We start from the raw sequence: 23,340 nt of genomic DNA, 5'->3' as shown, positions 1-23,340 counted from the left end.
TAGAAAGCAGCATGAATCAACCTCAATTATTCGTAAGTAAAATTAGAGTAGTTTCAAGCTGTCACTTCTTTCTGTCCTACACACGTTATTCAAATAAGTTGGTGGAAGAATGTTGTTTGGGTTTACAATAGGGAATTATGGGGACATAAATCTGGGTCTAAATTAGTGAAATTTTAAATGGGAAATTGCTTAACTCTTAGAGGTGGCAGAGTGTAGTGATCGAGAGGGTAGAGTGTGACACTGGGTTGTCTGGTTGGAGCCTTACCTCTGCTATTTCTTGGCTGTGGGACCTTGGGAGAGCTCCTTAACTTCTCTGGTCCTGATATAGTTTGGATCTGTGTCCCCTCCAAATCTTATGTCAGAGTGTAGTCCCCAGTGTTGGAGGTGGGTCCTGGTGGGAGGTGATCAGATCATGGGGGTGGCAGTCTCATGGTTTAGTACCATCCTTCCAGTGCTACATAGTGTGTGGGTTATCATGAGATCTGGCTGTTTGGAAGTGTGTAGCACCTCCTGCCTCATTCTCTCTTCTTCTCTGTCCATGTAAGACGTACCTGCTTCCCCTTCCCCTTCTGCCATGATTCTAAGTTTCCTGAGGCCTTCCTAGAAGCCGAGCAGATGCCAGCATCATGCTCCCTGTACGGGCTATGGAACCATGGCTGTACCGCAGGTAAAAGAGCCAGTGAAACCTTTTTTCTTTATAAATTACCTAGTCTTAAGTATTTCTTTATAGCAATGTGAGAATGGACTAATACAGGGCCTCATCTCCTCATTTGTTACATGGGATTGTCTTAGGTCTTGGCTCACTGCAACCTCCGCCTTCTGGGTTCAAGGAATTCTCATGCCTCAGCCTCCGTAGTAGCTGGGATTACAGGCATATGCCACCATGCCTGGCTATTTTTTTTTTTTTCTTGAGGCAGAGTCTCGCTCTGTTGCCCAGGCTGGAGTGCAGTGGCATGATCTCGGCTCACTGCAACCTCTGCCTCCTGGGTTCAAGCGATTCTCCTGCCTCAGCCTCCCGAGTAGCTGGGACAACAGGCACACGGCACCACACCCGACTAATTTTTTGTATCTTTAGTAGAGACGGGGTTTCACCGTGTTAGCCAGGATGGTCTCGATCTCTTGACCTCAGGTGATCTGCCTGCCTTGGCCTCCCAAAGTGCTGGGATTACAGGTATGAGCCACCACACCTGGCCAAACAATTCTTTCTCTTTCTAACTGTGGCAAAATATACACAATATAAAATGTACCATCTTAATTTTTTTTGGAGATGGGGTCTCGCTATTGGGAGATGGGGTTGCCCATGGCGGTCTCAAACTCCTGTCCTCAAAAAGTCTTGGCCTCCTAGAGCACTGGGATTACAGGCATGAACCATCGCCTCCAGCCCATCTTAACAATTTGTAAGTGAACAGTTCAGTGATACTAAGTACATCACATTGTTGTGTAACCAGCACCGCTATCCTTCTCCAGGATGTTTGCATCTTTCCAAGCTGAAACTCTGTACCCATTGAGCAATAATTTCCTATTCCCTGCTTCCTCGCAGTCCCTGGAAAGCACCTTTTTGTCACTGTGAATTTGACTACTCTGCCTATGAGGTTATGCATTTCTGGCAGGAATTCCACAGAAATGATGCGTCCTTTTGAGTATAGCCTATTAGGGGACATGTGATACGATGTGCTGATGTTCACTGTGATCAATTACAGCCTGAAGTCTTTTTTCTTTTTTAGAGACAGGGTCTCACTCTGTTGTACAGGGTGAAATGCAGTGGTGTGATCATAGCTCACTCCAGCCTTGATCTTCCACCTCGGCCCCTGAGTAGCTGGGACTACAGGTGCATGCTACCACGCCTGACTTTTTAAAAATTTTTATTTTTAGTAGAGACAAGGTCTCCCTATGTTACCCAGGCTGGTCTTGAACCCCTGGGCTCAAGTGATCCTCCCACCTCAGCCTCCTAAAATGCTGGGATTACAGTCATGGGCTACCATGTCCAGCTCACCCTGGGGTCTTTAGCCCCAAACTTTTGGGCTGCCTTGAGGGGTTGGAGAAGGCTGAAGAAAGCCAAAAGATGTGTGGTCCAGGCTTGAGGTGGGACAAGTAAGTCAGGTCTCACAGGGAACTGTCTCCTGCAGATGCAGAGAGGGGACTTGCGGCACCAGAGGGACTGCTACAGTGAGGCGGTGATAAAACAGCCCATTAGGCCGGGCACGGTGGCTCACGCCTGTCATCCCAGCACTTTGGGAGGCCAAGGCGGGCGGATCACCTGAGGTCAGGAGTTCGAGACCAGCCTGGTCAACATGGTGAAACCCCATTTCTACTAAAAATACAAAAATTAGCCGGGGGTGGTAGTGCATGCCTGTAATCCCAGCTACTCCAGAGACTGAAGAAGGAGAATTGCTTGAACCTGGGAGGTGGAGGCTGCAGTGAGCTGAGATCACACCGTTGCACTCCAGCCTGGGTGAGAGAGCGAGACTCCATCTCAAAACAACAACAAGAACAAAAACAAAACCCTGGCCCATCAGCCCACAGGGCTATTGTCAGGATTAAGTGCATTAATGCAGTGCTTGGTACGTAGCAACTGTTCAGTGGGTGTTAGCCAGTTCTACAAGATTTCCAACAGCTGGCGATATCATTCTGAGACTATCAAGTCGCTCACCACTCCAGCTTGCCTGGTGATAGTACCTTTATTTCTTGGCATTTCCCAAGACTCGGGAAATTCAGCAGGCCTGCTGGCACTGAGACCAAATATTCTATGTCCCTCAAGAAATATTTCATAAATAGGACAGGGCAGGGTGGCTCATGCCTGTAATCTCAACACTTTGGGAGGCCAAGGGGGGAGGATCGCTCGAGCCCAGGCGTATGAGACCAGCCTGGGCAACATAGCGAAACCCTGTCTCTGAAAAAAAAAAAAAAATTAGCCAGGCGTGAGGGCACACAACTGTGGTCCCAGCAACTTGGGAGGCTGAGGCAGGAGGATCACTTGAGCCTGGGAGGTAGAGGCTGCAGTGAACTATGATTGCACCACTGCACTCCAGCCTGGGTGGCAGAGTGAGATCTTTTCTCAAAAAAAGGAGAGAAATATTTCTTTTTTTTTTTTTTTTGAGACAGAGTCTAGCTCTGTTGCCAGGCTGGGGTGCAGTGGCGTGATCTCGGCTCACTGCAACCTCCCCCTCCCAGGTTCAAGCGATTCCCCTGCCTCAGCCTCCCGAGTAGCTGGGACTATAGGTGTGTGCCACCATGCCCAGCTAATTTTTGTATTTTTAGTAGAGATGGGGTTTCACCATGTTGGCCAGGATAGTCTCGAACTCCTGACCTCATGATCCACCTGCCTCGGCCTCCCAAAGTGCTGGGATTACAGGCTTGAGCCACCACGCCCGGCTGAGAAATATTTCATAAGTCATAGAACTAAGGAAAGTATAATAACTGAAGTTCGAGAACTGAGGTACACCCTCCAGCTTCCTCATGACCATCACAATCCACTTCGCCTCATGGGGCAGTCTATTCTCCACACTGCAGCCAGAGGGAGCCTTTGTTTTTCCTTTTTAGCAAAACTTTTCAAATTTGTATATCAGTTTTTTTCTTTTTTAAATTGAGCCAGGCAGGGTGGCTGTTTTCTGTAATTTCAACACTTTGGGAGGCCAAGGCGGTAGGATCACCTGAGACTAGGAGTTCGATACCAGCCTGGAAAACACAGTGAGACCTCGTCTCTACAAAAAAATACAAAATATTAGCTGGGAGTGGAGGTGCGTGCCTGTAATCCTGGCTGCTCGGGAGGCTGAGGTGGGAGGATGGCTTGGGCCCAGGAGTTTGAGGCTGTTGTGAGCCGAGATCATGCTACTGCACTCCAGCCTGGGTGACAGAGAGAGACTCTGTCTCAATAAACAAACAAAGTTGAACTGAAATTCACAAAACATAAAATTAAGTTTTAGGTTGGGCGCGGTGGCTCACGCCTGTAATCTCAGCACTGTGGGAGGCTGAGGTGGGCGGATCACCTGAGGTCAGGAGTTCGAGACCAGCCTGGCCAATATGGTGAAACCCTGTCTCTACTAAAAATACAAAAAATTAGCTGGGCGTAGTGGCGGGTGCCTGTAATCCCAGCTACTTGGGAGGCTGAGGCAGGACTGGGCAAGAAGAGCAAAACTCCATCTCAAAAAAAAAGAAAAAGTTTAAAAAGAACAGTTCAGTGGCAGTACATTTGCAATGTTATGCAACCGCCACAACATTTAAAAACAAAAAACCACACACACACACACAAAATGAGACAAGTTCTCACTATGGTGCCTAGGCTGATCTCAAATTCTTGGGCTCCAGTGATCCTCCCGCCTTGGCCTCCCAAGTAGCTGAGATCACAGGCGGCTAACCACCTCTATTTAGTTTCAGAATATTTTCATTATCCCCAAAGGAAACCTGTTGTTGGTAAACTTGTGTTGAAGGCCATAGCCAGAACCCCTATAGTATGGGGGTTTCTGGGGAGGTGTTCTACGCATGGTTTTGTAGGGGCATCCTTTGCTGTGCCCTCATATTATTCTACTTTGCTTTCCTCCTCTTCCCATTTAGGCCTGAGCTGGGTAAACAATTAATTGAATCGCTCATCGATTTGTTCATGGATGGTCATTTATTTTGTGTCAGGCATTAGACCAGATGGTAAGGCTACCAGGATGGAATCACTTGCCCTTGCACTTAAGGTAGTTTCATTTGATAGAAGAGGGAAAAAAGAAGGCTGGGCGTGGTGGCTCACGTCTGTAATCCTAGCACTTTGGGAGGCCGAGGCGGGTGGATCACCTGAGGTCAGGAGTTCGAGACCAGCCTGGCCAACATGGTGAAACCCTATCTGTACCAAAAATACAAAAATTAGCTGGGTGTGGTGGTACATGCCTGTAATCTCAACTACTCAGGAGGCTGAGGCTGGGGAATTGCTTGAACTTGGGAGGCGGAGGCTGCAGTGAGCTGAGATAGTGCCACCGCACTCCAGCCTGGGCGACAGAGTGAGACTCCGTCTCAAAAAAATAAAAAAGGTTGTCGGCTGTGTTGTCTAGGCTGGTCTCGAACTCCTGGACTCAAGTAATTTTTATGCTTTGGCTTCCCAAAGGTGAAAGGCAAAGTAATCCTTGCCTGCTATGGTTACAGGCACGATCCACGGTGCCCGGCCATATTCCATGTTTGATAGCAGAGTAGAATGACTATACTTAAAAAAATGTATTGTACTTAGGTGACAGATACCCTGGATACCCTAAATACCCTGATTTAATCACTATGCATTATATACACATAAAAAATGTCTCAGTACACCATAATTTGCACAAATAAAAAAAGTATTCCTTCTCAGCCAGACACGGTGGCTCACGCCTGTAACCCCAGCACTTTGGGAGGCCGGAGGGGCGGATCACTTGAGGTCAGGAGTTGGAAACCAGCCCGGCCAACATGGTGAAACCCTGTCGCTACTAAAAATACCTGTCACGAGTAAAAATACAAAAATTAGCCAGGTGTGGTGGCACGTGCTTGTAGTCCCAGCTACTTGGGAGGCTGAGGCATTAGAATTGCTTGAACCTGGGAGGCGGAGGTTGCAGTGAGCCCAGATCGCACCACTGCACTCCAGCCTGCATGACAGTGAGAGACTTAGGTGATGGATACCCTAAATACCCTGATTTAATCACTATGCATTATATACATGTAAAACATTTCTCATGTACACCATAACTTGCAGAAAGAAAAAAAGTATTCCTCCTGTCTAACTGCAACTTACACTCTTAGACAAAAATCTCTCCACTTCCCACCACTCCCCATTCAGCCCCTGGTAATCATCATTCTTCTCTCTGCATCTTTGAGTTCAACTTTTTTAGATCTCATAGAGGAGTGAGAGCATGTGGAATTGGTCTTTCTGTGCCTGGCTTTTGCATTTAGCATAACATCCTTCAGCATTTCGCTTGCATGCTAATGTTGGCCTCGGTGCCTGGAATTCCATTGACAGATGCATGCTTGTGTCTGACAAGCTTCTCCCCAGAGAGCGCTTAGAGCTGCTCTCCCGATCTGAGGCATGATGCCCACGGGAGGGCACAAGAGCTCCGTCATTACATCTAGGTTTTAGGCGTTGCCTCAAGAGGAGCCTTTTATTTATTTATTTTTGAGACAGAGTTTTGCTCTGTTGCCCAGGCTGGAAGTGCAGTGGCACAATCTCGGCTCACTGCAACCTCCACCTCCCGGGTTCAAGCAATTCTTCTGCCTCAGCCTCCCGAACAGCCGGGACTTCAGGTGTGTACCACCATGTCCGGCTAATTATTTTTATTTTTTGTAGAGATGAGGTCTTGCTATGCTGCCCAGGCTGGCCTTGAACTCCTGGCCTCAAGTAATCCTCCCCACCTTGGTCTCCCAAAGTGTTGGGATTACAGGCGTGAGCCACCACACCTGATCCCACCTGGATTTTTTTAGAGGATAAATTGTATGTTTAGTCTTTGCCTTAGAATGGATACAGGTGGGACTGGCTGGCTCTCTAGGCATTCACTCATGTAAGGATGTTTTCCCATGGGTTTTCATGTCCTTAGCAACTTTGTTCTCTTTAATGTCTTCAATAGCCCCACTCATGAGTTGGGAGGACAGAAATTAGGCAGAGATAAAGGGGAACACATTGATTTGCTTTCTCTGTAAATTTTAATTAACACAGAAACTATTTTTAGAAAAATCACTAAACCAATCACTTCTCCAATTACTTCTCCTTTTGCCCTGAAAGTAGTTAACGATGGGAAATGGCTTTCCCCTAAGTCTCAATTCTTTTTTTCCTCCGCCTCTGTTTCACTCTGTTATTCTTGGGCTGTCTGCTTTTATTTGACATCATGTCCACTCCTGGTCTTTCCAAGTGTTCTCTTTTTTTTTTTTTCCTTTTTCTGAGATGGAGTTTCGCCCTGTCCCCCAGGCTGGAGTGCAGTGGTGTGATCTTGGCTCACTGCAACCTCCGCCTCCTGGGTTCAAGCAATTCTCCTGCCTCAGCCTCCTGAGTAGCTAGGATTACAAGCGTGCACCACCATGCCTGGCTAATTTTTGTATTTTTAGTAGAGATGGGATTTCACCATGTTGGCCAGGCTGGTCTTGAACTCCTGACCTTGTGATCTGCCTGCCTCGGCCTCCCAAAGTGCTGGGATTACAGGCGTGAGCCACTGCGCCCAGCCCCAAGTGTTCTCTTCGATTGCGTCTTCATTTTGCTTTTCTGATAGTTTATTTGGAAAATGGTTTCAGGAAGCAGTAACAGGGATATTGGAAGAGGCAGACAGGTTAGGAGGAAAAGCCAATGAAGAGTGCATTATTGAGCTACTCCTGCAAGTAAATGGTGCAGAAAAAAAGTCAGAATAGTCCCCCAAGCGGATGAGGGTGGGGAGTGACACATTCATTTATTGACTCTGCACTGGTTGAGCGTTACCTCCTCGGGGCTTTATCTCTTCCTAACTTCTGGCAGCATCTGCACGCAGACAGCCTTCAATAGCTGCAAAAAAGCTCCGAGGCAGAAAAATGAGTTGCTGTGGCTGATACTTGAGGTGGGAGGCAGTCTGGGTGCATGGAACTTCTGCCACTTCTACAGGCGTTAGCCACCTCACCCGGCCCAGGGCAGGGATTTTTGCCTGTTGTGTTTACTGCTTGCTACATTCCCATTGCCTTAGACAAAATCTGAGGACTTAAAACAATAAATCCTAAAGAAATGCTTGATGGATCCTAACTGCTAATGCTTTAGTTCAGGTCTTTGTGACTCATCTGGATGCTGTCGAAGAGACAGAGCTGGACACCGGTTAAAAGTGGTAAAGACAGTTTTATTCGGTACTATTGTAATAGGGGAAAAGAGACTTCAGCAGAGAAATGAGCTCAGTTTCCAAAACAGCAAAGACAGATTGGCATTTACAGCCGATGAGCAGAGTGAAGGGTTTAGTGGGTGAAAAATGACTAAGAGGAAACATCAAGCATAGGGGGATTCTTTTTTATTTTTAATAGAGACAGGGTCTTACTATGTTGCCCAGGCTGCTCTTGAACTCCTGGCCTCCAGCAATCTTCCTGCTTTTCCCTCCTAAAGTGTTGGGATTACAGGCATGAGCCACTGCACTCGGCAGATAGGGGGATTCTTGCCAAACCATTGTTGTAGACAATGTTTGTGTCTCCTTCAAATTCATGTTTTTGGTTTTTTTTTTTTTAATTTTATGGAGTCTCGCCCTGTTGCCCAGGCTGGAGTGCAGTGGCATGATTCTCAGCTTACTGCAACTTCCGCTTTCCGGGTTCAAGTGATTCTCCTGCCTCAGCCTCCCAAGTAGCTGGAATTACAGGCCCATGTCACCACGCCTAGCTAATTTTTGTAGTTTTAGTAGAGACAGGTTTTTGCCATGTTGGCCAGGCTGGTCTTGGACTCTTGACCTCAGGTGATCCACCTGCCGTGGCCTCCCAAAATGCTGAGATTACAGGCGTGAGCTACTGTGCCAGGCCCAAATTCATGTATTGAAACCTAATCCTCAATGTGATGGTGTTGGAGGCAGGGCCTTTGGGAGGTGATAAAGTTATGGGACTGGAGCCCTCAGGAATGGGATTAATGCCTCTATCAAACAGATCCCAGAGAGGTCCCTCAACCCTTCCACCATGTGGGGGCACAATGAAAAAATGGTCATCTATGAACCAAGAAGCAGATTCTCAGCAGGCACTGAATGCGCTGGTGCCTTGCTCTTGGACTTCCCAGCCACTAGAATTGTGGGAAATGAATTTCTGTTGCTTTTAAGCCACTCAATCTATGTTATTTTGTTAGAGTAGCCCAAATGGATTAAGATGCTAACTTAAGGATTCTTGCTGAAGGCTGGCCAGGGTGATAAAATATTAAGGATTGGGGTATAATTTAGCAGGATTCTTTGCCAAGACTGACAGAAGCAGGCTAAGGACAGGATCCAAGAATGATGCCTAGTTGAAAAGAGGAGTCATGGGTGGCTCATGCCTGCAGTCCTAGCACTTGGGGAGGCTAGTGTGAAGCTTGCTTGAGCCCTAGGAGTTCAAGACCAGCCTGGGAAAAATAGAGAGACCCCCATCTCTACCAAAAATAAAAATAAAAATAAAAAAATTAGGCGGGCATAGTAGTGCATGCCTGTGGTCCCAGCTACTCAAGAGGCTGAGCCAAGAGGATCGCTTCAGCTCTGGTGGTCGAGGTTACAGTGAGCGCTGTGATCACTGCTGCACTCTAGCCTGGGTGACAGAGTGAGACCTTGTTTCCCAAAAAAAAAGAAAGAAAGAAAAAGAGAGTCTTTATCAATGCTTTCATGGCCTCTTTTTTTTTTTTTTTTTTTTTTTGAGACAAGGTCTCACTTTGTTGCCCAGGCTGGAGTGCAGTGGCACGATCTCACCTCACTGCAACCTCTGCCTCTCAGGTTCAAGCAATTCTCCTGCCTCAGCCTCCCAAGTAGCTGGGACTACAAGTGTGCACCACCACACCCAGATAATTTTTGTATTTTTTTTTTTTTGAGACGGAGTCTCGCTCTGTTGCCCAGGCTGGAGTGCACTGGCGTGATCTCAGCTCACTGCAAGCTCTGCCTCCCGGGTTCACACCATTCTCCTGCCTCACCCTTCCGAGTAGCTGGGACTACAGGCGCCCGCCATCATGCCCGGCTATTTTTTTTTGTATTTTTAGTAGCGACGGGGTTTCACCGTGTTAGCCAGGATGGTCTCAATCTCCTGACCTCGTGATCCACCCGCCTTGGCCTCCCAAAGTGCTGGGATTACAGGCACCCGCCACCACGCCCGGCTAGTTTTTTCTGTATTTTTAGTAGAGTTGGGGTTTCACCATGTTGGCCAGGCTTGTCTCAAACTCCTGACCTCAAGTGGTCTGCCTGCCTCAACCCTCGAAAGTGCTAGTATTATAGGTGTGAGCCACAGTGCCCGGCCCTTTCATGGCCTCTTAACTGGAATTTTTGCATCATATCTCTCTTCCAATCCTCCACATACTACAGATGGATCTTCCTGAGGTGCAAATCTAATCAGATCATCTCCCTCTTTAGACAGGCTTGAATCAGATCTGGACTACATCTTCATTCTCATTTTTTGACACAAGTCATGCTCACTGTATGGGCCAGCCACACTGAACTATGGGCTATGTCGTTCATGCCCATGGGCCTCTGCATAACCTTTTCAACAGCCTTCACTTTCTCTTAACTGTCAGGTCAAGCATCACTTCTTTCTGGAAGTGTTTTCCAATCCTCCGAGTTAGGTCCACCCACTTCTATGAATTAATAGCATTTATCACAATGTCGTGATTGTTAGGTTTCTCCTCTAGGAGAAGTATAGCACAGTGCTGAGAGCCTAATGCCAGAGCCAATCTGGATTTGAATTCTGACTTTACTCCTTACTGGCCATTCACATAACCTGTGTGGTTCTGTTTACTTGGGTCTGCCACATAATGAATGCAGTATAAATGCTACTTATCATAGCAGTCAGCTATTGCTGCACAAGAAAAGAGACCCCAAAACTCAGTATCTTGAAATAACAATACCTTAAGCTTTTTTTCGTTTTTCATACAGGCATTCAAAGCTATGCCTTTTCCTCTCAGCACTGCTTTAGCTGCATCCCACAGCATTTTTTCAGGTATGTTCATTAGCATTCAGTTCAAAATATTTTCTTATTTCCACTGTGATTTTTTTTTTCTCTGACTTAGGAGTTATTTAGGGATGTGTGGTTAAATTTCCAAACAATTGTAAATTTCTAGTTATCTTTTTTGTTGTTGACTTCTAGTTTAATTCCACTGTGCTCATACTTTGTAGGATCTCAGTTCTACAAAATTTGTTGAGACTTGCTTGACAGCCCAGCATATGGGCTATTGTGATGGCTATTCCAAAAGTAGCAATCATTTATTTTTGCCCACATGTCTGAGGACTTGGCTGATGTGGGTGGGGACCAGCTGGACAGCTTTGATGCATGCTTTGGCCTCTCTCTGCAGGTTGGGTTTAGATCAATTCTGCATGTATTCATTCTTTTTTTTTTTTTCAGACATAGTCTCACTCTGCTGCCCAGGCTGGAGTGCGGTGGTGTGATCTCGGCTGACTGCAACCTCTGCCTCCTGGATTCAAGTGGTTCTCCCGCCTCAGCCTCCTGAGTAGCTGGGATTACAGGCACCTGCCACCACGCCCGACTTTTTTTTTTTTTTTTTTTTTGTAGAGATGGGGTTTCTCCATGTTGGCCAGGCTGGTCTGACACTCCTGACCTCAGGCGATCCGCCCACCTTGGCCTCCAAAAGTGCTGGGATTACAGGCGTGAGCCACTGTGCCTGGCTGGCATGTATTCATTCTGAGGCCTCGGCCAAAGGAATAATCATTCTTGGGAGGAAGCTTCCCTCATGATGATGACAGAGATAAGCCAAGTGGAGACATGGGAGGCTTCTTGAGGGATGCTTGGAACTGGTTACCTGTTGAGCAAAGCTGGTCCCACAGCCCAAACAGCCCAAAGTCAAGAGGCAAGGGTTCTGCTTTTGGTGAGAATAACAGCAAAGTCCCACGGCACACAGAGTGTGGATCTACAGAGGATTGAAAAAACTGGAACAATAATTCAAGCAGTGCCTGTAACCCCAGCTACTCGGGAGGCTGAGGTGGGAGGATCTCTTGAGCCCAGGAGTTTGAGGCTGCTGTGAGCCGTGATTGCACCACTGCACTCCAGCCTGGGCAACACAGCAAGACCCTGTCTCAAAAAAAAAAAAAAATTCAACCAAGCATATTATCACTACTTCCCCATTTCCCTTGCTGGACTACAAGCTCCCGATGGCAGGAACTGGGAGAAGCTACTGTGTTTTCCAGAGCTTGGAACATAAGCACTCCATGAATGCATACTGCACAAATCAGCTAATCACCGGAAGCCAGAGTATTTTGGCGCCCTGACAGACTTGGATTAGGTGATGTTGCTTCTCAGATGCTGAGAAAGTGTCCTGATGCCGCAGTTGAGTGCTGACCCAGATTTGGAAGGAGATGAAAGGAGTATGTTTTCATGCCTAGTTTCTGCCCTCCTCTTTCAGCTTCTCAAAGTCTCCACTCAACATTTAATCACTCCGGCATTTGTCTGACATGCTGTGAAAGGGTGTTTTGAACAGCTCTATTTCGGGATTTTGGCAACGTCACCTCCCCACCCATCAACTCCTTCCACTCAATCTGTTCCCACGAGGGCAGAGAAGTGTTACTTGTCCTGTTTGTTGACTGGGTTGGGGAGGGGGGCGGGGTGGTGGTGATGGTGCTAATTTGTCTTGCAGATGCCTCTGCCTGGACATCCTTGTTTTACTTCAATTTTTTTCTCACCAGCTTTAAAATATTCTAACAACCCACATTCCAAGATTCACATCTATCCCAAGGTTCCCTGGCTCCTAAATGGCTCATGCAAATCTTGAAGGAGTCTCTACTTTTTGAGGAGGAAAACAGCTCTTTAATCTGGACTCCACGATGTTGTTGAAAACACGCTTGCAGGTATCGTTGGAAATGGGGAGCATCTGGGGTTAACGTCTAAGTGGCAACCAAGTTGTTCCTGAGACTCTCAAATCTTCCTCTGTTTCCTTCATTAGGCTCTCAGGAGGAGGATGTTTTGATACTCAGAGTCCGTGCTTGAAATAATCAAAACACAGGCGATAGACTAGGTGGCTTCTTTTCTTTTCTTTTTTTTGAGACAGGGTCTCGCTCTGTCGCCCAGGCTGGAGTACACTGGTGCGATCTTGGCTCACTGCAACCTCTGCCTCCACGGTTCAACCAATTCTCCTGCCTCAGCCTCCAAGTAGCTGGGATTACAGGCATGGGCCACCACGCCTGGCTAATTTTTTGTACTTTGTAGAGACGGGGTTTCACTAGGTTGGTCAGGCTGGTCTTGAACTCCTGACCTCAGGTGATCCACCCACCTCGGCCTCCCAAAGTGCTGGGATTACATGTGTAAGCCACCGTGCCCAGCCCTTTTTTTTTTTTTTTTCAGACAGCGTCTTGCTCTGTCACCTAGTCTGGAGTGCAGTGGTGCGATCTCGGATCACCACAACCTCCGCCTCCCGGGTTCAAGCAATTCTCCTGCCTCAGCCTCCCGAGTAGCTGGGATTACAGGCGCCTGCCACCAGGCCCAGCTAATTTTTGTATTTTTAGTAGAGACGGGGTTTTGCCACGTTGGCCGGGCTGGTCTCAAACTCCTGACCTCAGGTGATCCACCCGCCTCGGCCTCCCAAAGTGATGGGATTACAGGCATGAGCCACCATGCCCGGCCGTGACTTATTTTTTCAATATTTTGTTTTGAAGATGTTCAAACCTGTAGAAAAATTACAGTACAATGAACACCTACAAACCCTTCACCTACACTCCTTAGTCGGTAACGTTTCCTACGTAGGTTCATCTGTTTCTGCCTGTCTCTTTCTACAGATATACACACAGATATGTATGTATATACATACACATACATTATTAGATATTTTGAGAGTTAGTTGCAGATATACTGATCCTTCACTCTCAAATACTTTAGTGTGCATCTCTTAAGAATCAGAACATTCTCTGGCTGGGCACGGTGGCTCACGCCTGTAATCCCAGCACTTTGGGAGGCTGAGGCAGGTAGATCACCTGGGGTCAAGAGTTTGAGACCAGCCTGGCCAACATGGTGAAACCACATCTCTACTAAAAATACAAAAATTAGCCAACCGTGGTGGTGGGTACCTGTAATCTCAGCTACTTGGGAGGCTGAGGTAGGAGAATTGTTTGAACCTGGGAGGCGGAGGTTGCAGTGAGCTGAGATTGCACCATTGCACTCTAGCCTGGGCGACAGAACGAAACTCTGTCTCAAAAACAAAAAAGAATGAGAACATTCTCTGACATGATTACAAAATAATCAATTTCAAGAAATTGAACGTTGAGGCCGGGTGTGGTGGCTCACTCCTGTAATCCCAGCACTTTGGGAGGCTGAGGCGGGTGGATCACCTGAGGTCAGGAGTTTGAGACCAGCCTGGCCAACATGGCAAAACCCTGTCTCTACCAAAAATACAAAAATTAGCCAGGTGTGGTGGGGTGCGCCTGTAATCCCAGCTACTCGGGAGGCTGAGGCAGGAGAATGGCTTGAACCCAGGAGGTGGAGATTGCATTAAGCTGAGATCAGGCCACTGCACTCCAGCCTGAGTGACAGAGTGAGACTCCATCTCAAAAAAAAAAAAAAAAAGGAAGAAAAAAAGAAAAAAGAAGAAAGTTAGTGGCAGAAGACACAATGCCTGTTATCCCTCAATACTTCAGAGTTTTGTCCCTCAATACTTCCGAGTTTGTCCCTCAATACTTCAGTTTGTCCCTCAATACTTCAGAGTTTGTTTCCTAAACCCAAGAGCATTCTTTTGCAAAACCATTAAACAATTGTCAAAACGAGGAGAAGAAATTTGCTCTAATACAACCATCTAATGCCCAGACCTTGTTCATAATTTGCCAATAGCCCCAATATTGTCCTTTAGGGCATAAAGGTCCAATTCAGAGTCATGGGTTGTATTTAGTTGTGAGGTCCCTTCAGCTTCTTTCAGCGTGGGATCATTCCCCTGCCTTTCCTCATCTTCTATGACCTTGATGCTTTTAAAGAGTTTGAAGGCGACCAGTCGCGGTGGCTCATGCTTGCAATCCCAGCACTTTGGGAGGCTGAGGTGGGTGGATCACTTGAAGTTAGGAGTTTGAGACCAGCCTGGCCGACATGGTGAAACTCTGACTCTACGAAAAATTAAAAAATTAGCTGGGCACGGTTGCACGTGCCTGTAATCCCAGCTACTTGGGAGACTGAGGTGGGTGAATTGCTTGAACCTGGAAGGCAGAGGTTGCAGTGAGCCGAGATCACACCACTGCACTCCAGCCTGGGTGACAGAGTAAGGCTCTGTCTCAAAAAAAACAAAAACAAAAAAACCCCAAAAAACCCAAACCTACAGAGCCCCTCAGCAAAGCCCTGGTATTAGGACTATAGCGGCTCCCCATTATCTGAGGGACAATATATTTATTCCGAGAGTCCTAGTGGGTGCCTGAAACCACAGATAGTACCAGACCCTATATATACTGTGTGCTTTCCTATGCATACATGCCTAGGATAAAGTTTAACTTATAAATTAGGCACTGTAAGAAAATTAACAGGCCAGGTGCACTGGCTCACGCCTCTAATTCCAGCACTTTGGGAGGCCGAGGCGGGTGGATCACGAAGTCAGGAGATCGAGACCATCCTGGCTAACACCATGAAACCCCGTCTCTACTTAAAAAATACAAAAAAATGAGCCGGGTGTGGTGGCGGGCGCCTGTAGTCCCAGCTACACGGGAGGCTGAGGCAGGAGAATGGCGTGAATCCGGGAGGCGGAGCTTGCAGTGAGCCGAGATCGCGCCACTGCACTCCAGCCTGGGAGACAGAGCGAGACCCCGTCTCAAAAAAAAAAAAAAAAAAAAGAAAATTACAGCAATGACTGAAAATACAATAGAACAATTGTAGCAAATAATTACAGTTATGTGAATGTGGTCTCTCTCAAAATATCTTATTGTACGGTATTCACATATTTTCAGACTACAGTTAACCGCAGGTAGCTGAAGCTACAAAAAGTGAAACCACAGATAAGGTGGTGGTGGGGAGACTGGTGCGTTCCATGAAGTTGATGTCAAAATCCAGAAGACTGGGGCATGCAGATTGTAAGATCTGTGGATGGAGAGAATTCTAGAGGCTGAGGAATGGAATTTGAACCCAAATAGGATATCACAGAAAGGAAGAAAGAAATGAAAACCTACCCCAAAGTCAAACTGAGATATTTCAAAGTCACATCCTCCAAAAGTTCTAAAAGTTTGATATTCCAAAACAAGTCTTTTATTTATTTACTTTTAAAGGCGGGGGTCTTGCTCTGTTGCCTGGGCAGCAGTGCAGTGGTACAATCATGGCTCACTGCAGCCTCGACCCCCCGGGGCTCAAATGATCCTCCCACCTCAGTCTCCCAAGTAGCTGGGACCACAGGTGTGCACCATCATGCCCGGCTAATTTTTAAATTTTTTGTAGAGATGAGGCCTCCCTATTCTGCCCAGGGTGGTCTTGAACTCCTGAGCTCAAGTGATCCTCTCACCTCGGCCTCCCAAAGTGCCAGGATTACAGGTATGAGCCACTGCATCTGGCTTGTTTTTGTTATTTTCGATCACCACTTCTCACATTTTACATTTTAGGATGATAGCTGCATTTTTATTTTATTTTATTTTTTAAAAATTTATTATTATTATTATTATTATGAGATAGATTTTTGCTCTTGTCACCCAGGCTGGAGCGCAATGGCGAGATCTCCGCTCACTGCAACCTCCGCCTCCCCGGTTCAAGCAATTCTCCTGCCTCAGCCTCCCGAGTAGCTGGGATTACAGGCGTCTGCCACCATGCCCGGCTAATTTTTTGTTTTTTTAGTAGAGATGGGGTTTTGCTGTGCTGGCCAGGCTGGTCTTGAACTCCTGACCTCAGGTGATCTGCCCGCCTCGGCCTCCCAAAGTGCTGGGAATACAGGGGTGAGCCACTGTGCCCGGCCGATAGCTGCATTTCTATGCATTACAAATTTGTTGCAATGGTTTGTTTGGGCAAAGGAAATCATGCACGGCAGAGAAAATCAGGCTGTTAAAAAAGTCCAATGTTGCTAAATTTAATATATGTAAACCTCTAGGACTGTGCCTGAGCTGTTATGATAATTATTTTTCTTTTGCAAAAGTTTTTTTTTTTCTTTTAACTTCTTATCCTGCTCCAGGCATTTAGGCATTCACACGAAATGTCTGTGTGCCAACCTTTCATGTTCTAATTTGATGAATGTGACCTTTCAAACTGAGGACACAACCCAACAGGGGAGAGGAGAGGAAAAACTGGAAGTAAATTTGGATATAATCAGTTGTGGGCGCAGAGAACCGTTTCTGCGCTAAGGACAGACCAAACATAAGCAAACAGGCCATTTGTTAATTTCAGTGAGTTTGTTGGCAGAAAGAGGCAGGAGGGTGTTGCCAAAATCTCTTCCAAGTTTAAATTTAGGACAGCAGGTTCCCCAGGAGTGGGGAAGTTTTAGAATCCTTGCTCCCATTCTCACTGTAACTTTTTTGTGATCTTCAGGGGTTGCCACATGGAGGGAATTAATTCCAAATTTTCCTCTCTGCTTCTCTTCCCCAAATTATCATCCAGACTGAAACTAGAATTAGCGTGTTTTTTAAAAAGAATTATTTATTTATTTATTTTTGAGACAGAGTCTCGCTCTGTCGCCCAGGCTGGAGTGCAGTGGCGTGATCTCGGCTCACTGCAACCTCAGCCTCTTGGGTTCAAGTGATTCTCCTGCCTCAGCCTCCCAAGTAGCTGGGATTACAGGTGTCTGCCACCATGCCGGGCTAATTTTTGTATTTTTAGTAGAGATGGGGTTTCACCATGTTGGCCAGGCTGGTCTCAAACTCCTGACCTCAGGTGATCCGCCTGCCTCAGCCTCCCAAAGTGCTGGGATTACAGGCGTGAGCCACTGTGCCTGGCTCTTTTTTTTTTTTTTTTTTTTTTTAAAGAGAGGGTCTCACTCTGTTGCCCATGCTAGAGCGCAGTGGTGTGATCATAGCTCACTGCAGCCTTGAACTCCTGCACTCAAGGGATCTTCCTTCCTCAGACTCCTGAGTAGCTGGGACTACAGGCATGCGCTGCCACACTGGGCTAATGAAAACATTCTTTTTTGTAGAGATGGGTGTCTCACTATGTTACTCAGGCTGGTCTTTAACTCCTGGCCCCAAGCGATCCTCTCGCCTTGGCCTCCCAAAGTGCTGGGATTATAGTCATGAGCCACCTTGCTTGGCCAAAAATTTTTTTTGATGAGGGGATAGATTGCAGAGACCTTTCCATCCAGCCTTCCAAATGGGGAAACTGCGTCTTACATGGGCGGAGTGACTTATGTACATCACTGCTAGGAGAGGCTCTTAGCTATATCCTCTTTACAAAGAAGCTTGATATTCATCACATAATAAATAAATTTTCCACAAGGCAAGGTGGCTCACTCCTGTAATCTCAGCATTTTGGGATGCTGAGGTGAGTGGATCACTTGAGCCCAGGAGTTCAAGACCAGCCTGGGCAACATGGTGAAACCCTGTCTCTACAAAAATACAGAAAAATTAGCTGGGTGTGGTGGTGTGTGCCTGTAGTCCCAGCTACTCAGGAGGCTGAAGCAGGAGGATTGCTTGAGCCCAGGAGATTGGGGCTGCAGTGAGCTGTGATTGCACCATCGCACTCCAGCCTGGGCAAAAGAGTGAGACTCTGTCTCAAAATTGTTTTTCTTCTCAAACAAATGGGATCAGCAAAGTGCTGCCTACCTATCTTTGGTAGTTCTTTGCTAAGTTCTGTGAGTTCCCCTCAGAAAATGAATTATGCAAATTGTAGCTGGGGATAATGACATGTAATGTTTGCAAGATTCCCTGAGAATTCATCCTTTTTCCAGAAATGATGCTTGCTAGACAGCATAAGGCTATATTCAGTACCAATAACAAACAAATCAGAAACTTCGGTAGCTTTATACAGCACAAGTTTGTTTCTTATTCCTGTAAGCTAGTTAGCAGGGGCTCGCCTCCAAGCGGTGATGCAGAGATCCAGTCTTCCTCCATTTTGCAACAGCACCATCTCTCACAAGGCTTCCAAAATCACCTCAGGGAGGAAAGAGAAGGACAGAGGAATGTATCAGCTCTTAACTGCCTCATCCCAGTGGCGATAATCCATTGGCTAGAATGAGTCATATGGGTCTGTCTCATCTGCAAGGGATTCTGGGAAATGTAGGGGAACATATAGGTGAGCACCAACACATGGCTTATTATTTCTACTGGAAAGTAGAGAGAGACTTGCCTTTTAGGACCTTGAATATGGCAAGATAATTATGTTTGGATATCACCAGCATAATAAAAGGGCAGAACACTTTTTCTTTTCTTTTTTTCCTTTGAGCAGTGTCTCACTCTGTCACCTAGGTTGGAATGTAGTGGCACGATCCTGGCTCACTGCAGTCTTGAATTCCTGGGCTTAAGCAATCCTCCCGCCTCAGCCTCCTGAGGAATTGGGATTACAGATGGGCACCAACACCCCTGGCTAATAATTTTTTTTTTTTTTTTTTTTTGTACAGACGGGGTTTTACCATGTTACTCAGGCTGGTCTGGAACTTCTGGGTTCAAGCGATCCTCCTGCCTTGGCCTCCCAAAGTGTTGATATTACAGGCTTGAGCCACCAAACCCAGCCACAGAACATGTTTCCCTTTACATAAAGCCATTTAGACTTGCTATTGATCTTGACCGTACATAGCTGGCAAATCCTGTGTCTTCCACAAGACCAAGTAAACCACATTTGTTTGAGGGTGATGTCCTGCTCAGAGATTTAAACCCCTGGCTTTCAGCAGAGGGTGAATACAATGAGGGTGAGTCAGTCAGGATAGGCTAAATTTTAGGGGCGTTAAAGCAACAAAGATTTATTTCTATCCCATTCCACCCATTTCAGTTACCTATTGCTGAGTAACAAACTGTCCTAGAACTCAGAGACTGAGAACAATGATGATGATTTCTCATGACTCTATGGTTGGCTGAGCTCAGCTGGGCAGTTCTTCTGTTCCGTGTGGTGTAGGCTGAAGTCCCTCATTGGAAGGTGAGAGAGCTGGGGCATTTATCCACCAACTTTTGTCAGTTACTAGTTGAGAGCTGCTCTCAGGGGCATTCATTCTGTGGCCTACAGGTGGCAAAGCAGGTCTCAACAGCAAACAAAAGACCCCAGTTTTGGCACTTGGGAAGCAGTCTGGTTTGCAGACTGTGAAGAGGTAAGGGCAAGGGGGCATGGCTAGAATTCCTGTGCAATTAGTAAAAACCAGATGGAAAATGCAGCATGGTTATTGTGGCAGAGACTGCTAATTGCAGTCTCAGTATTCATCTTCATTCTTCTTTCCCTCCCTCCCTCCCTCCCTCCCTCCCTTTCTTCCCTCCTTCCTTCCTTCCTTTCTTCCTTCCTTTTTGAGACAGGGCCTCACTCTGTTACCCAGGCTGGAGCACAGTGGCGTGATCTTGGCTCACTGCAGCTTTCATCTCCCCAGCTCCAGTGATCCTCCCACCTGAGCCTCCCGAGTAGCTGGGATCACAGGTATGCACCACTATGCCCTGCTGGTTTTTATTTTTTGTAGAGAAGGGGTCTTACTATGTTGCCCAGGCTGGTCTAAAACTCCTGGGCTTAAGCAATTGTCCTGCCTCAGCCTCCCAAAGTGTTGGGATTACAGGTGTGAGCCACCGTGCCTGGCTCTATTCTTCTTTTTAACAGAACCCCTACCTTCATATTTATTGGGGGTAACAATGTGCTCAGCTAAAAGACTACATTTCCTAATTTAATGCAGATAGCAGTGGCCCAATGAGCTGTAAGCAGAAGTTATTGAATGAGGCTTTTTTTTTTGTTTGTTTTTGTTTTTGTTTTTTTTTTTTTTTTTAAATTTATTTTTTTATTGATAATTCTTGGGTGTTTCTCACAGAGGGGGATTTGGCAGGGTCATGGGACAATAGTGGAGGGAAGGTCAGCAGATAAACAAGTGAACAAAGGTCTCTGGTTTTCCTAGGCAGAGGACCCTGCGGCCTTCCGCAGTGTTTGTGTCCCTGATTACTTGAGATTAGGGATTGGTGATGACTCTTAACGAGCATGCTGCCTTCAAGCATCTGTTTAACAAAGCACATCTTGCACCGCCCTTAATCCATTTAACCCTGAGTGGACACAGCACATGTTTCAGAGAGCACAGGGTTGGGGGTAAGGTCACAGATCAACAGGATCCCAAGGCAGAGGAATTTTTCTTAGTGCAGAACAAAATGAAAAGTCTCCCATGTCTATTTCTTTCTACACAGACACGGCAACCATCCGATTTCTCAATCTTTTCCCCACCTTTCCCGCCTTTCTATTCCGCAAAGCCGCCATTGTCATCCTGGCCCGTTCTCAATGAGCTGTTGGGCACACCTCCCAGACCGGGCGGTGGCCGGGCAGAGGGGCTCCTCACTTCCCAGTAGGGGCGGCCGGGCAGAGGCGCCCCTCACCTCCCGGACGGGGCGGCTGGCCGGGCAGGGGGGCCGACCCCCCCACCTCCCTCCCGGACGGGGCGGCTGGCCAGGCAGAGGGGCTCCTCACTTCCCAGTAGGGGCGGCCGGGCAGAGGCACCCCTCACCTCCCAGACGGGGCGGCTGGCCGGGCGGAGGGCTGACCCCCCCCCACCTCCCTCCCGGACAGGGCGGCTGGCCGGGCGGGGGGCTGACCCCCCCACCTCCCTCCCGGACGGGGCGGCTGGCCAGGTGGGGGGCTGACCCCCCTACCTCCCTCCCGGACGGGGCGGCTGGCCGGGTGGGGGGGCTGACCCCCCCATCTCCCTCCCGGACGGGGTGGCTGGCCGGGCTGAGGGGCTCCTCACTTCCCAGTAGGGGCGGCCGGGCAGAGGCGCCCCTCACCTCCCGGACGGGGCGGCTGGCCGGGCGGGGGGCTGACCCCCCCACCTCCCTCCCGGACGGCACGGCTGGCCAGGCGGGGGGCTGACCCCCCCACCTCCCTCCCGGATGGCACGGCTGGCCGGGTGGGGGGGCTGACCCCCCACCTCCCTCCCGGATGGGGCGGCTGGCCGGGCGGGGGGCTGACCCCCCCCCACCTCCCTCCCGGACGGGGTGGCTGCCGGGCGGAGACGCTCCTCACTTCCCAGATGGGGTGGCTGCCGGGCGGAGAGGCTCCTCACTTCTCAGACGGGGCAGCTGCCGGGCGGAGGGGCTCCTCACTTCTCAGACGGGGTGGTTGCCAGGCAGAGGGTCTCCTCACTTCTCAGACGGGGCGGCCGGGCAGAGACGCTCCTCACCTCCCAGACGGGGTCTCGGCCGGGCAGAGGCGCTCCTCACATCCCAGATGGGGCGGCGGGGCAGAGGCGCTCCCCACATCTCAGACGATGGGCGGCCGGGCAGAGACGCTCCTCACTTCCTAGATGTGATCGCGGCTGGGAAGAGGCGCTCCTCACTTCCTAGATGGGATGGCGGCCGGGAGGAGACGCTCCTCACTTTCCAGACTGGGCAGCCAGGCAGAGGGGCTCCTCACATCCCAGACGATGGGCGGCCAGGCAGAGACACTCCTCACTTCCCAGACGGGGTGGCAGCCGGGCAGAGGCTGCAATCTCGGCACTTTGGGAGGCCAAGGCAGGCGGCTGCTCCTTGCCCTCAGGCCCCGCGGGGCCCGTCCGCTCCTCCAGCCGCTGCCTCCCGGGCGGCGCTCGCCGGCGCGGCGGCAAAGACTGAGACAGCTCCGCTGCCCGCTGAAATCCATCCTCCCGGCGGTCGGGCGGTGGCGGCTGCGGTCGGTCGCGGCAGCGGCTCCGCTTCATATCTGCAGCTGGGGCCCGCGGGCGTCAGCGCCGCGACTGTCCCGGCTCCGCACTGCCCCGGGCCGCAGCGCAGCCGCGCCAACCACCAGCCACGGCCACCATGGCCGGACGGGCTCCCTAAGCCACCGACCCCAGCCCGCGGCGCCTTCGACCCTTCTGGGGCCTCCGGCGCCGCGACCTCGTCTGCCTGAAATTTCTTTTTTCTTTTCCTTTTATTTTATTTTATTTTTTGAGACGGAGTCTTGCTCTGTTGTCTGGGTGGAGTGCAGTGGTGCAATCTCGGCTCACTGCAACCTCTGCCTCCCAGGTAAAAAACCTCATTTCGAGACAGGGTTTCATTCTGTTGGCCAGGCTGGAGTGCAGTGGTCTGATCATAGCTCATTACAGCCTTGAACTTCTGGACTCACGCAGTCCTCCTGAGTAGCTGGGACTACATTAATTACCACACCTAGTATTTTTTTTTTATTTTTATTTTTTGTAGCAACAGGGTCTCGCTGTGCTGCCCAGGCTGGGTTTGAACTCATGGCCTCAAACACTCTTTCTGCCTCAGCCTCCCAAAGTGCTGGGATTACAAGCATGAGCCACTGTGTCGGGCCAGCATTCCACTTTGATAATAGACCTGTGGAAAAGGCCCATGCAAGTCCTGAATGTGGGCATGGATTCAATTAAGTAGGGAATTCCAGGATCCTGGATACCTAGAATATCTGAATGAGGCTTTTAATAAACTCTTTAATGATGATGGCTCAGTTGAGAAGTGTACCCTTTAGCCCTAGCCGCTTTCCTCTTAATATTGTCTGGGACATGGATATGATGGCTGGTGCTCTCGCAGCCATTTTGTGGTCATGAGGCAACCTTGAGGATGGAAGCCAAGGATGACAGAGCAGAAAGTTAGAAGGCCTTAAGGTCCTTGATAATTGTGGAGCTGCCTTGCCAGCCATGAACTGAACTACTGTGGTACACCTACATGGCAGAAAAATATACCTCTGCCCTGTTTAAGCCACTATTATTTTTCTCTTCTA

At 48.5% G+C, this 23,340-nt stretch overlaps 1 long non-coding RNA gene across 4 annotated transcripts in view, besides 3 other annotated features; it reads left to right on the top strand.

Moving 5' to 3' along the window:
• Positions 1-556: 556 nt before the first annotated feature.
• The window catches only part of LOC105372284 (uncharacterized), a 40,186-nt gene continuing 17,402 nt past the window's right edge, over positions 557-23,340 (top strand). For 2 of the 4 annotated variants that reach the window (XR_001754028.1, XR_001754029.1), the window contains exons 1-4: positions 557-667; positions 7,712-7,775; positions 10,518-10,581; positions 12,279-12,440. This is a non-coding gene — a long non-coding RNA (uncharacterized LOC105372284). Of the gene's footprint in view, positions 668-7,711; positions 7,776-10,517; positions 10,582-11,663; positions 11,961-12,278; positions 12,441-19,446; positions 19,519-23,340 lie in introns of those variants that run through there. The other 2 variants (XR_936344.3, XR_936341.2) reach the window with 2 other exon arrangements.
• Positions 18,570-18,870: a silencer, noted in NCBI's record as "silencer 3 fragment used in repoter construct". NCBI's record gives its function as "represses an SCP1 promoter by reporter assays in K562 erythroleukemia cells {active_cell/tissue: K562}" and the evidence as "EXISTENCE:reporter gene assay evidence [ECO:0000049][PMID:32103011]".
• Positions 18,620-18,820: a silencer, noted in NCBI's record as "peak3374 fragment used in MPRA reporter construct". NCBI's record gives its function as "represses an SCP1 promoter by STARR-seq MPRAs in K562 erythroleukemia cells {active_cell/tissue: K562}" and the evidence as "EXISTENCE:reporter gene assay evidence [ECO:0000049][PMID:32103011]".
• Positions 23,109-23,309: a silencer, noted in NCBI's record as "peak3373 fragment used in MPRA reporter construct". NCBI's record gives its function as "represses an SCP1 promoter by STARR-seq MPRAs in K562 erythroleukemia cells {active_cell/tissue: K562}" and the evidence as "EXISTENCE:reporter gene assay evidence [ECO:0000049][PMID:32103011]".

The sequence above is a fragment of the Homo sapiens genome, chromosome 19 (genome assembly GCF_000001405.40).
Source record: "Homo sapiens chromosome 19, GRCh38.p14 Primary Assembly".
In the NCBI taxonomy this organism is placed as follows: domain Eukaryota; kingdom Metazoa; phylum Chordata; class Mammalia; order Primates; family Hominidae; genus Homo; species Homo sapiens.
The sequence above is the reverse complement of the archived record's forward strand: the minus strand, read 5'-3'. Positions and strand labels throughout refer to the sequence as shown.